This window comes from Homo sapiens, chromosome 12 (assembly GCF_000001405.40).
Source record: "Homo sapiens chromosome 12, GRCh38.p14 Primary Assembly".
Taxonomy (NCBI): domain Eukaryota; kingdom Metazoa; phylum Chordata; class Mammalia; order Primates; family Hominidae; genus Homo; species Homo sapiens.
This window is the reverse complement of record NC_000012.12, coordinates 93,712,505-93,724,970: the sequence shown is the minus strand read 5'-3', so window position 1 is coordinate 93,724,970 and position 12,466 is coordinate 93,712,505. Positions and strand designations below refer to the sequence as shown.

At 37.0% G+C, this 12,466-nt stretch overlaps 1 protein-coding gene and 1 long non-coding RNA gene across 12 annotated transcripts in view; one reads left to right on the top strand and one right to left on the bottom strand.

Moving 5' to 3' along the window:
- The window catches only part of CRADD (CARD and death domain containing adaptor protein), a 217,466-nt gene that overhangs the window by 169,870 nt on the left and 35,130 nt on the right, over window positions 1-12,466 (bottom strand). The window contains exon 3 of one of the 10 annotated variants that reach the window (XM_017020145.2): window positions 581-12,065. The exons of the other annotated variants lie outside the window; for them this stretch is intronic. Within the exon in view, the coding sequence (XP_016875634.1) occupies window positions 12,055-12,065 (11 nt within the window). The 3' untranslated portion in view covers window positions 581-12,054. Of the gene's footprint in view, window positions 1-580; window positions 12,066-12,466 lie in introns of those variants that run through there. 10 annotated transcript variants of the gene reach the window in all.
- Window positions 1-12,466, top strand: part of CRADD-AS1 (CRADD antisense RNA 1) — a 30,033-nt gene that overhangs the window by 12,853 nt on the left and 4,714 nt on the right. Inside the window, exon 3 of one of the 2 annotated variants that reach the window (NR_110093.1) lies at window positions 10,075-10,436. The exons of the other annotated variant lie outside the window; for it this stretch is intronic. This is a non-coding gene — a long non-coding RNA (CRADD antisense RNA 1). Of the gene's footprint in view, window positions 1-10,074; window positions 10,437-12,466 lie in introns of those variants that run through there. 2 annotated transcript variants of the gene reach the window in all.

The window sequence follows — 12,466 nt, the reverse complement described above, 5'->3', positions numbered from 1 at the left end:
GAGAATGGCGTGAACCCGGGAGGCGGAGCTTGCAGTGAGCCGAGATCGCGCCACTGCACTCCAGCCTGGGCAACAGAGCGAGACTCCATCTCAAAATAATAATAATAATGATAATAATAATAATAATAAGTCTGTTCTTTACAGATATATGTCACAATCTTCTGCTCAAAATTCCTTTGTAGCAAAATAAAACATCTAAAACTATGCTAAAAAATACAAAACAGTAACAATTATATCCAATGTGCCTTATCATTTATTGGGAATACAAATTATCTACATTATGTTTTTGCATAACAGAATTTTCAAACAGCACCCTGAAAGAGAAGTATTAACTACCTGACTTTTTTCAAAGGCAAAAAATGAAAAGTCAAGAGGCTTCTGGTTTCCAGCTCTGTATTTAAGGAGCTGAAAAGTCGCCACTCCATCCTAACAAGTAAAAAGGCTGAACAAACTGAAAAATCAACAAGTCTTCTTAGTTCTGTAAGAAAAGTGAGATCACAAGGTAAACTGATGCCTCTGAAATTGAAGCAACAGACAGGCAGATACAGAGAATCACAACATACTGGAGCAGAAATTTTTTTTTTTTTTTTTTGAGACAGGGTCTGGCTCTGTCACCCAGGCTGGAGTGCAGTGGCACGATCAGGGCTCTCTGCAGCCTTGACCTCCTAGGTTCAAGGGATCCTCTCGCCTCAGCCTCCCAAGTAGCTGGGACTACAGGCATGCACCACACACCCAGCTAGTTTTTGTATTTTTAGGAGAGACTGGGTTTCTCTATGTTATCCAGGCTGGCCTCGAATTCCTGGGCTCAAATAATCTACCCACCTCGGCCTCCCAAAGTAAGTGCTGGGATTACAGGTGTGAGCCACTGCACCCGGCCTGGAGCAGAAACTTCCCCAAGAAAAATCCCTTTCCAGCAGGAGGAGAAGGAAAAGGAACCATTTTGAAATATGCCAGAGCACTGGGGTCTTCCTAACAAGGCCTGTCCTCAGGAGAAGCTACCTAACCAGAGCCTCATCTGACAGTGGATTTTCCCACAGCCTAACGGGCCTGGAGGGAAGAGAAATTCTCAGCTCTAGCCCACTCAAGCCTTCCATGTGATGAACAGAAACATATAATTCCAGCCGAGTCTAGCGACCCTGTCCCACCTAAGAGGAAATAAAACCTGAGAAACACTGTGAAGTTCACAGTCCAGAGGCACAGGCTTACTCAAAGACTGAGACCTACTCATAGGACAAGAGAACACTTCTGTATTCACCAGGCAGTTTCATCATTCCCACTGCCCAGCAAAGCCGATGCACTGAACAGCAGGTTTTTGCAATAGAGAAAGAGTTTAATAAACCCAGAGGCAGCTAAGCAAGAGGACAGGAGCTTATTATTACTCAAATATGCCTTTCCAAAAATCCAGAGGCTATGGTTCTTCAAGGATAATTTGGAGGCAGCAGGGTCGGGAATAGGGAATGCTGATTGGTTGGGTTGAAATCATAGGGAGTCGAAGTTTGTCTTCTTGTACTGAGTCAGTTCCTGGGTGCGGGCCAAAAGACCAGATGAGCCAGTTTACCAGTCTGGGTGGCACCAGCTGGTTGGTTCATCAGAATGCAGGGTCAGAAAAATACCTCAAACACCAATCTTAGGTTTTACAATAGTGATGTTATCTATAGGAGCAATTGGGAAGTTTAGGAATCTTGTGGCCTCTGGCTACATGACTCCTGAGCCAGAATTTCTAATCTTGTGGCTAACGTTTCAGTTTTACAAAGATGGTCTAATCCCTAAGCAAAGAGGGGGTTTGTCTCAGGAAGGGGCTGTTATCATCTTTGCTTCAAAATTAAACTATAAAGTAAATTCCTCCTATATTTTGTTTGGCCTATGCCCAGGAATGAATAGGAACAGCTTGGAGGTGAGAAGCAACATGGAGTCAGTTAGGTTAGATTTCTTTCACTGCCATAACTTTCCTATGCCAAAATTTTTCTCATGGTCATAATTTTTGCAAAGATGGTTTCACTTCCTCTCCTCCCACACTTCTATCACTACATTACTAAAGGCCTACTTAAGAGTGATCCCTTTACCCCATATTCATGCCCAGCTATCAAGAAAAAATTACAAGGCATACTAAAAGGCAAAACAACACAGTTTGAAGAGACAGACCAAGCATCAGAAACAGACATGACAAGGATGTTGGAATTATCAGATAGGGAATTTAAAACAACTATGGTTAATTTGTTAAGGGCTCTAATAGATAGTCAGCATGCAAGGACACATAGGCAATGTAACCAAAGAAATAGAAATCTTAAGAAAAAAAAATGTTAAGGATCAAAAACACTGTAACAGAAATGAAGAACGTCTTTGGTAGGCTTATTAGTAGACTGGACATAGCTAAGGAGAGAATATCTGAGCTTAAGAATGTATCAATAGAAACCTCCAAAACTGATAAGCAAAGAGAAGAAAGACTGAAAAACAGAATATCCAAGAACTGTGGGACAAGTATACAAGGTTTAACATAGGTATAGTGGAAATACTAGATGGAGAAAAAGAAAGAAACAGAAAAAATATACGAAACAATATAGGCTGAGAATTGCCCCCAAATTAATGCCAGACACCAAACCACAGATCCAGGAAGCTTAGAGAATACCAAGCAGCATAAATGCCAACAAAAACTATACCTAGGCTATCGTTTCAAACTACAAAAAGTAAAAGATAAAGAAAAATTCCTGAAAGAAATCAGAGAAAAAAAGTAAATTGGCTATAGAGAAACAAAGATAAAAATTATATCTGCCTTCTCAGAAATCACATAATCAAGAACAAAGTGGAGTGAACTATTTAGTGTGGAGAGGAAAAGAAAAAACCCACCAACTTAGAATTCTTGTACCTTGTGAAACTATCCTTCAAAACTGATGGAGAAATAACGACTTTCTCAGACTAACAAAAATTGACAGAGTTTGTTGGCAGTAGACCTGCCTTACAAGAAATGTTAAAAGAAGTTCTTTTGAGAGAAGGAAAATAATGTTAGGTCAGAAATAAGATCTACATAAAGAAAACAAGAGCATCAAGAAGGAGTAAGTGGAGGTAAAACAAAAATGTTTATTTTTTTAATTGATCTAACAGATCAAAGTTTGTTCAAAATAATAATGGCAACAATGTATTTGGTTATGTATGCTTATGTGTACAGTAGTCCCTTATTATCCATGGGAGATTGGCTTCAGGGCCCCACCCCCAGTGGATACCAAAATCCATGAATGCTCAAGTCCCTTATATAAAATGATGCATTATTTGCTTTTAATCTACATACATCATCTTATGTACTTTAAATCATCTCTAGATTACTTATAATACCTAATACTATGCAAATAGTTGTTATACTGTATTGTTTAGAAAATAATGACAAGAGAAAAACATCTGTACATGTGCAGTACAGATGCAATTATCCCTTATTTTTCAAATATTCTGATCCACAGTTGGTTGACTCCATGGAGGCAAAGCCCACATATATGGAGGGCTGTGTGTGTATATATATATGTGTGTGTGTTTGTGTATGTGCATACACATATAGTTATATACACTAACGTATAAGTGAAATGAATGACAGCATAAGACAGGAGGGAGAAATTAGGAATATTTCATTATTATAATGAAATACACTGCCCATGTATTAGTACAGAGTTATTTGAAATTGGTCTTGGATGAGTTGTAAATATATACAGCAAACTTCTAGGGAAACCACTTTAAAAAAGTTTAAAAAAACAAAAAAAGGAGCATGGTGGCTCACATCTGTTAATCCCAGCACTTTGGGAGGCCAAGATGGGAAGACTGTTTGAGCCCATGAGTTTGAGACCTGCCTGGGCAACACAGTTGAGACTTCATTTCTACAAATAATTTTTAAAAACAAGTATACTTTATATGTTACAAAAGAGAAAATGGAATAATGTAAAATGATTTAATACTAAATAATAAACCATAAAAGGCAAAAAAGTGTGGAAGATAAAAATAGAAACAAAAAACAAGGGCAACAAATAAAACACAATAACAAATATGGTAGGTATCCAACTATATACCCAACTAACAATCACCTCAAATGCCAATGGTCTAAACACACTAATTGAAAAACAGGAATTGTCAAGGTAGATCAAAAAACAAAACCCAATCATATGTGGTCTACAAAAAGTCCACTTTAAATATAAAGACATATGTAGATTTAAATGGTTGGAGAAAGCTATACCACACTAACAATAATCAAAAGCAAGTGGGAGTAGCTACAGTAATTTCAGACATAGCAAACTACAGAGCAAGAAAGGTTATCAGAGATAGAGAGAGGCGTTACAAAATGATAAAGGGGTCAATATTCCAAGAATACGTAACAATCATTAGTGTGTATGTGCCTAACAACAGAGCATTAAAATACATGAGGTAAAACTGATAGAACTGTAAGAAAAAAGAGGTGAATCCACTATTACATTTGGAGGCTTAGCATCCCTCAGAAATAGGCATATCTAGCAGGCAAAAAATCAGGAAGGACATAAACTCAACATCAATCAATTGTATGTAAATGACATCTATAGACTATTCCATCAAACAACAGCAGATTACACATTTTTCTCAAGCTCATGTGGACTATTCACCATGATAGACCACATTTTAGGCCATAAAACACACTCTAATAAATTTAAAAATATAGAAACCATATAAAATCTGCTGTCAGATCACAATGGACTTAAATAAAAAATTAATAACAAAAACATAGCTGGAAAATTCCAAAGTACTTGGAGATAAAACAATACACTTCTAAGTAACATAGGGGTAAGAGAATTCTCAAGATAATTTAAAAAAATATTTTGAACTAAATAAAAATGGAAACAACTTATCAAAATTTGTAGTTTCTAGCTAAAGCAAAGGGAAATGCATAGGATTTGGATGCAAAAATTAGGAAAGAAGAAAGACCTAAGATCAACAACCCAAGTTTTCCCCTTTAGAAACTAGAAAAAGAAAAGCAAATTAAATCCAAAGTAAGCAAAAGCAAAAAAAAGTATAAAAATTAGAGCAGAAATTAACGAAAGAGAACACAAGAAATCAATGGAAAAAATCAATAAAGCAATGTTTGCTCTTTGAAAAGATAGATGAAATCAGTAAGCATCTAGACAGGCTAAGAAAAAAGGAGACAGAATACAAATTACTAATATCAGAAATGAAAAAGAGAACATCATTACAGATCCCATGAACATTAAAAGGATAAAGAAGTTTTATAAACAACTTTATGCCCACAAATTTGATAACATACCTGAAAAGGAACAATTCATTGAAAAACACAATCTGCCAATACTCACACACAAAAATAAACAATCTAAGTTGGCCTGCATCTATTAAACATTTGAATCAATATTTAATAACCTTTAAAATAGAAAGTACCAAGCCCAGGTGAGTTCACTGATAAATTCTATCAAACATTTAAGGAAGAAATTGTAACAATTCTCTGCAATATCTTTCAGAAACTAGAAGCAGTGGAAATACTTCCTAACTCATTCTATGAAGTCAGCATCACCCTAATACCAACACCAAAGACATTACAAGAAAAGAAAACTATGGACCAATGTCTCTCTTGAACATAAACGCAAAAATCCTCAAAAAAGTATTAGCAAATCAAATCTAAAAATGTATAAAAAGAATTATACACCATGACCAAGTGGGATTTATCCCAATTATGCAAGGCTGGTTCAACATACAAAATCAATAAATGTAATCTAATCCATCACATCAACAGACTTAATTAGAAAAATCACATGATCATATCATTTGACAAAACTCACCACCTATTCATAATAAAAACTTTCATCAAACTAGGAATAGAAGGGAATCTCCTCAACTTGATAAAAAACATATTTTTAAAAACCCTGCAGCTAACATCATACTTAACAGTGAGAAAGTCAGCCAGGCACAGTGACCCACACCTGTAATCCCAGCACTTTGGGAGGCTGAGGCAAGAAGATTGCTAGAGCCTAGGAGTTCAAGACCAGCCTGGGCAACATGACAAAACCCCATCTCTACAAAAAATACAAAAATTAGTCAGGCATGGTGGTGCACATCTGTATTTCAAGCTACTTGGAAGACTGAAGTGGCAGGATTACTTCAGCCCATGAGATCAAGGCTGCAGTGAGCCATGTTCACACCACTGCACTCCAGCCTGGGTGACAGAGCCAGACCGTGTCTCAAAAAAAAAAAAAGAGAGAAAATTGAGACTTTCCCACTAAGACCAGGAACCAGGCAAGGATGTCCGTTATTACCACTGCTTTTCAAGATCAAATTGGAAGTCATAACTGGTGCAATAAGACAAGAAAAAGAAACAAAAGGTATGTAGATTAAGAAGGAAGACACAAAACTGTCTTCTTCACAGATGACATGATTGTCTATGTAGAAAATTCCAAAAGAATAAACAAGAAATTCCTGGAACTAATAAGCAATTATAAGAAGATTCAGAATAAAAGTTTAATATACAAAAGTCAATTACCTCCCCATATACCAGCAATGACCAAGTGAAATTAAAAATTAAAAACACATTACCATTTACATTAGCACCCCCCCAAAGATCAAAATGCTTAGGTATAAATCTAATAAAATACGTACAAGATCTATATGAGGAAAACCACAAAACTGGTGAAAGAAACCAAAGAAGAATTGAATAAACAGATATCCCATGTTCATGGACTCAACACTGTCAAAATGTCAGCTATTCTCAACTTCATAGATTCAATGCAATCCCAACAAAAATCCCAGCACACTATTTTGTGGATACTGGCAAACTGATTCTAAAGTTTATATATAGAGGCAAAAGACCCAGAACAGCCAACTCAATGTTAAAGGACAAAGTTTAAGGACTGCCACTACCTGACTTTACGGCTTAATGTACAGCTACAGTCATCAAGAGAGTGTGATATCGGTAGAAGAACAGACAAATAGATGAATGGAATAGAACAGAGAACCCAAAACTAAACTCACATAAACAAAGTTAAGTGATCTTTGACAATGGAGCAAAAGCAATACAATGGGGCAAAGACAGTCCGTTCAACAAATGGTGCTGGAACAACTGAACATCCACGTGCAAAAAAACAAAAAGAATCCAGGCACAGATGTTAGACCCTTCATAAAAGTTAACTCAAAATAGATCACAGGAAGGGTGCGGCGGCTCATACCTGTAATCCTAACACTTGGGGAGCCCAAGGTGGGTGGATCACTTGAGGTCAGGAGTTTGAGACCTGCCTGGCCAACATGGTGAAATCCCATCTCTACTAAAAATACAAAAATTACCCAGATGTGGTGGTGCATGCCTGTAGTCCCAGCTACTTGAGAGGCTGAGGCAGGAGAATTGCTTAAACCCCAGGAGGCGGAGGTTGTAGTAAGCCAAGATCATGCCACTGCACTCCAGCCTAGGCAACAGAGCGAAACTCTAAAAAAATTAAAAATAGATCACAGACCTAAATGTAAAACACAAAACTTTAAAATTCCTGGAAGATAACATAGGAGAAAATCTAGGTTATTATGGGTATGGTGATGACTTTTTAGGTATAACACCAAAGGCAGAAATCCATGAAAGAAATAATTGATAAGCTAGATTTCATTAAAATTAAAAAGTGTGCTCTGTGAAAGGCACTGTCAAGAGAATGAGAAGATGAGTTAGACTAGAAAAAATATTTGCAGAGGACACATATGATAAAGGGCTGTTACCAAAAATAGACAAAGAACTCTTAAAATTCAACAAGAAAATGAACAACTTGATTTAAAAAATGGCCAAAGACCTGTACAGATATCTCACCAAAGAAGATATACAGATGGCAAGTAAGTATGTGAAAAGATGTTCAACATCATATATCATTAAGGAAACACAAATTAAAACACAATGAGATACCACTATACACCCATTAGACGGTCACAATCCAAAACTCTGACAACACCAAATGCTGGTATAGTGTGATGCAACAGGAACTCTCATTTATTGCTGGTAGGAACACAAAATGGTATAGCCACTTTGGAAGACAGTTTGGTAATTCTTCACAAAACTAAACATATTCTTAAAATATGATCCAGCAGTCATGCTTCTTGATATTTACCTAAATGAACTGAAAATGCATGTCCACACAGGAACCTGCACATAGATGTTTATAAGCAGCTTTATTCATAATTGCCAAAACTTGGAGCATTCAAGATATCCTTCAGTAGGTGAATGGATAAATAAACGGTGATATCCAGACAATGGGATATTATTCAGCACTAAAAGGAAACGAGCTATTAAGTCATGAAAAAACATGGGGGGAACTTCAATGCATATTGCCAAGTAAAAGAAGCCAATCTGCAAAGGCCACACACTACATGATTCCAACGATATAGTAGTCTAGAAACGCAAAACTATGGCGATAGTAAAACAATCAGTGGTTTCTAGGGGTTGTGTGGAAGGAGGGATGAACAATCAAGAGCACAGAGAATTTTTAGGGCAGTGAAAATACTCTGTATGATTCCATAAATGTGGATACATGTCGTTATATATTTGTCCCAACCCATAGGATGTACAATATCAAGAATGAACCCTAAGGTAAACTATGGACTTTGGGTAATAACGATGTGTCAATATAAGTTCATCAATGATAACAAATGTCACACCTCTCCTGGGAACTGTAGACAGTGGGAGGAGCTGTGCATCTGCAGGGGAAGGGAGTATATAGCAATTCTTCATACTTTCCACCCAATATTGCTGGGAATCTAAAACTGCTCTAAAAAATAAAGTGTATTAATAAAAAATAAACTTTATAAGACCATCTTCAAAAATTAGCTCATCTAAGTAATTTTTTTCCTTTTTTTTTTTTTTGAGGTGGAGTCTTGCTCTGTCACACAGGCTAGAGTGCAGTGGCACAATCTCAGCTCACTGCAACCTCCGCCTCCTGGATTCAAGCGATTCTCATGCCTCAGCCTCCCGAGTAGCTTGGATTACAGGCATCTGCCACTACGCCTGGCTAATTTTTGTATTTTTGTATTTCACCATGTTGGCCAAGCTAATCTCGAACTCCTGACCTCAAGCGATCCCCCCGCCTCAGCCTCTCAAAGTGCTGGGATTACAGGCATGAGCCACTGTGCCCAGCCTAAATAATTTTTTTCTACTTCAGATTACTTCTTTATCATAGACCAAAGAAAATGGGGAAAAAGGATTTAAGAAACTCCTAAGAGGCTAGTAAAAGTTGTTACAGCCACAGAAATTACAAGTAAAAAGAGTTTGGAAAAATCTGTTTATACCACCAATTCACATATACTTCCATTAAATATAGCTCTAAATATTTGCCATTAATGCTAAAGATGAAAAAAATTTTTTTAAATTTCTATTTATTTATTTTTGTAGATATGGAATCTTGCCATGTTGTCCAGGCTGGTCTGGAACTCCTGGGCTCAAACCATCCTCCTGCCTCAGCCTCCCAAAAATAGTTTTTTGACAAAACATCCTAACACTAAATTTCACCCAACTAGTTTCTTCCCTCCTCTATGGTAGAGGCCCACTGTCTCAATTCTTTCATATTTCTCATCATAAACAGGTTCCTCTACAATAAATGCCTGTTCAGAACTGCTAACATTTGTATGTGTTTACCAATGTTCTTGTGAAGTATTTTTGTGACAAATAACTACTGTTATGGACATATCATTTGCAGATAATGAAAAATAAAACCAAGATTCTCTTCTTTGCTGATGAAGTCAGGAAGGTGGAAAGGGCAAAGCAAGAACTCTCACTCTTACCCTATGAGTAATTTCAATAGAAATCAAAGGCGTTAACTTCTCGGGTCCTCAATTTTTTCTTCTCTAAAAAGAAAGAATTGTTTAATAAAACTCATCCAAGGCTACAATCATCAATGGCAGCTAAAACCACTTAGTGAAAGAATTTTTTTTTTAATAAAAAAAGGACATTGGATGATGTCTCAACTCCCAAGCACTTGATGTTTGACTTGGGAGTGGTGCCCTCAGTCACACCTAAAACTATCTGCGGCAGACCCTGTTCTTTTTGGCTGACACAAATGCCATTCCCAACCTCCTTCTCCTCCTGTCTTGTCTCAATCGTAGAGTCTAGAAGAGCAAACATTCACTTTGCAGCCTCCCTTGTACCAAGGAGTGGCCATGAGACAATTCTGCCCAATGAATCAGAAGAGGAATTGTGTTGAGGATTTCTGGAAAGACTACTTCTTTTCCCAAGAAAAAGTGACAGACGCAGTAGGGGCTGAGCAACTTCCGTGCCTCTTCCAGCCTTACGGATGTGCTGTTGGTAGCTGTGACTGCCTTGCTACTACGAGGAAAAGGAAGGCCAAGAGAATAGCAGAGACACTCGCTCTGATGCCTTTGAGCCAATGAATCAATGCCAGAAGCAGCTGACCTCCAGAGTTCTTGTTACAGGATTAAAATAAATCTCTACTTATTTGCCATTGTCACTTTGGTTTGTTTGTTTGTTTACTTGTTGCCAAGCACATTCCTAACTGATACACTGTTCACCAGATTCCCTGGGATTAGACAATCAAACATCTTTCTGTAACCAAGAATGCAAAAGCTCCTCAACTGGAAAATACTCATGTGAAAGTTTAAAGGAAAAGCACAGGGAGTGAAATAAAATGCTTTCTTCTCCTGCCCACGGAATCCATTTATTTCATGTAGCTGTAAAATCAGCCCTTTGCCCAATTTCATCAAGTCACAAATTCTCAGGATTGGAAAGGCATTACTTTTAACCACCTGATCTCCCTCTAAACAACCTCATTAAGCAGCTATTTAGCCTCTTCTTGAATTATGTATAGTGACAAGGAATTCATTATCTCTAGAAGGAGCCTATATTTTCTTTGGACAACTATTTTAGAAGGGTCTATCTTACATTAACTTGCTTTTTCTATGTCTTCGTTCGACCTTTTGAGAAACACAGAACAGAAAGAATCTCTTTTACGAATGAGAGCCATCCAAAGAGCTGAAGGCAGCTGTCATATCACCTCATCTGCACAGTGATATCCACCAGTTCCTTCCACCTTTCCTCCTGAGAGAGGTGTCAAGTTCTAATGAATGCCAGTCACATATATAATTTTAAATTGTCTAGTAGCCACGTTTTAAAAAGGAAAAGCCAGATGAAATTAATTTTAATATATTTTATGTAACCCAATATATCAAAAATATCATTTCAACAGATATTCAAAATAAATCATGAGATATTTACATTATTTTTTCATACTAAGTCTTTGAAATCTAATGTGTATGATATAGTCAGCCCTCTGTATCCCCAGGTTCTGTATATGCAGATTCAGCCAACCTTGAATTGAAAATATTTTTTAAATAAACAATAACAATACAACCATTAAAAAAAACGTTAAGAAAACAAACAAACAATATAACAACTATTTACAAAGCATTTATATTGTATTAGGTATTATAAATTATCCAGAGATGATTTAAAGTATACAGGAGGCTGTATGTAGATCACATAAAAATACGATGCCATTTTTATATGAGGAACTTGAGCATCTGTGGATTTTGGTATGTGCAGGGGGTCCTGGAACCAATACCCCTCGGACACTGAGGGGTGACTATATTACATGGTAGTCTATAATCAACTTACAGGAGTCACATTTTCACGCTCAATGGCCACACATAGCTACGTGCAACCATATTGAACAGCACAAGTCTGACAGAAGAACATAACACTGTTTTCTGCAGAGTCACTACAGACAGCATTCAGTTAATAAGATAAACTGGCAAAATATCATGGTGCCAAGTTTCTGAACCTAGAGTACCGCACAGACCTCTTTTGAAGTGGTGGGAAGGAGAACTAAATCTCATGGGCTCCTGAGACTGTGTCCTAGAACTTTCAGAGGTCAATGTACCCCAACTGAAAAACTGTTTTTGAAAATGGCTTTAAAAAAAAACGATCTTCAAAATAAAGACACACACAAAAAAGATTCTATTTTGCTTGAATTTGAGCAGCTCTATGGTCCCAGATTGAAAACACTACTGGAACAGAGAGAACACTGGTCTGAAGTCAGGGAGTCTTTATTCTCAATTCTGCCACCAAGCTCAGTAGTCACCTGAAAAAAAAAATCAATTCATTTCTCCAGGCCTCTTTTCTCTAAGGGTGCTCCACTTTCCCACTAAACAACACTGTCCTAAGCATTCACAAATCATCCTTTTAATAACCCATTCTAGAATTCTGCCCACAAGTAGCATAAAGCTCCTAGTCTACAGTTTTTAAGCCCACATTCCTCACTCTCGAAAATCAGAATGTCATTTACCTGTCTTCATAATTCCAACAATTTCTCACTCTTCAAAATTCCATAAAAATAAAAATTAACAATGAATTATCCCTGGGTTCTTTCAGTGTCCTGGAACAGAATGCTTCTGGATCAAAAATCCAAAACCCATTTTGAACAACTAAACAATCTTTTACAATCCATTCAACTTTCGCAAGCTTTAATTTAATGTTACTAAT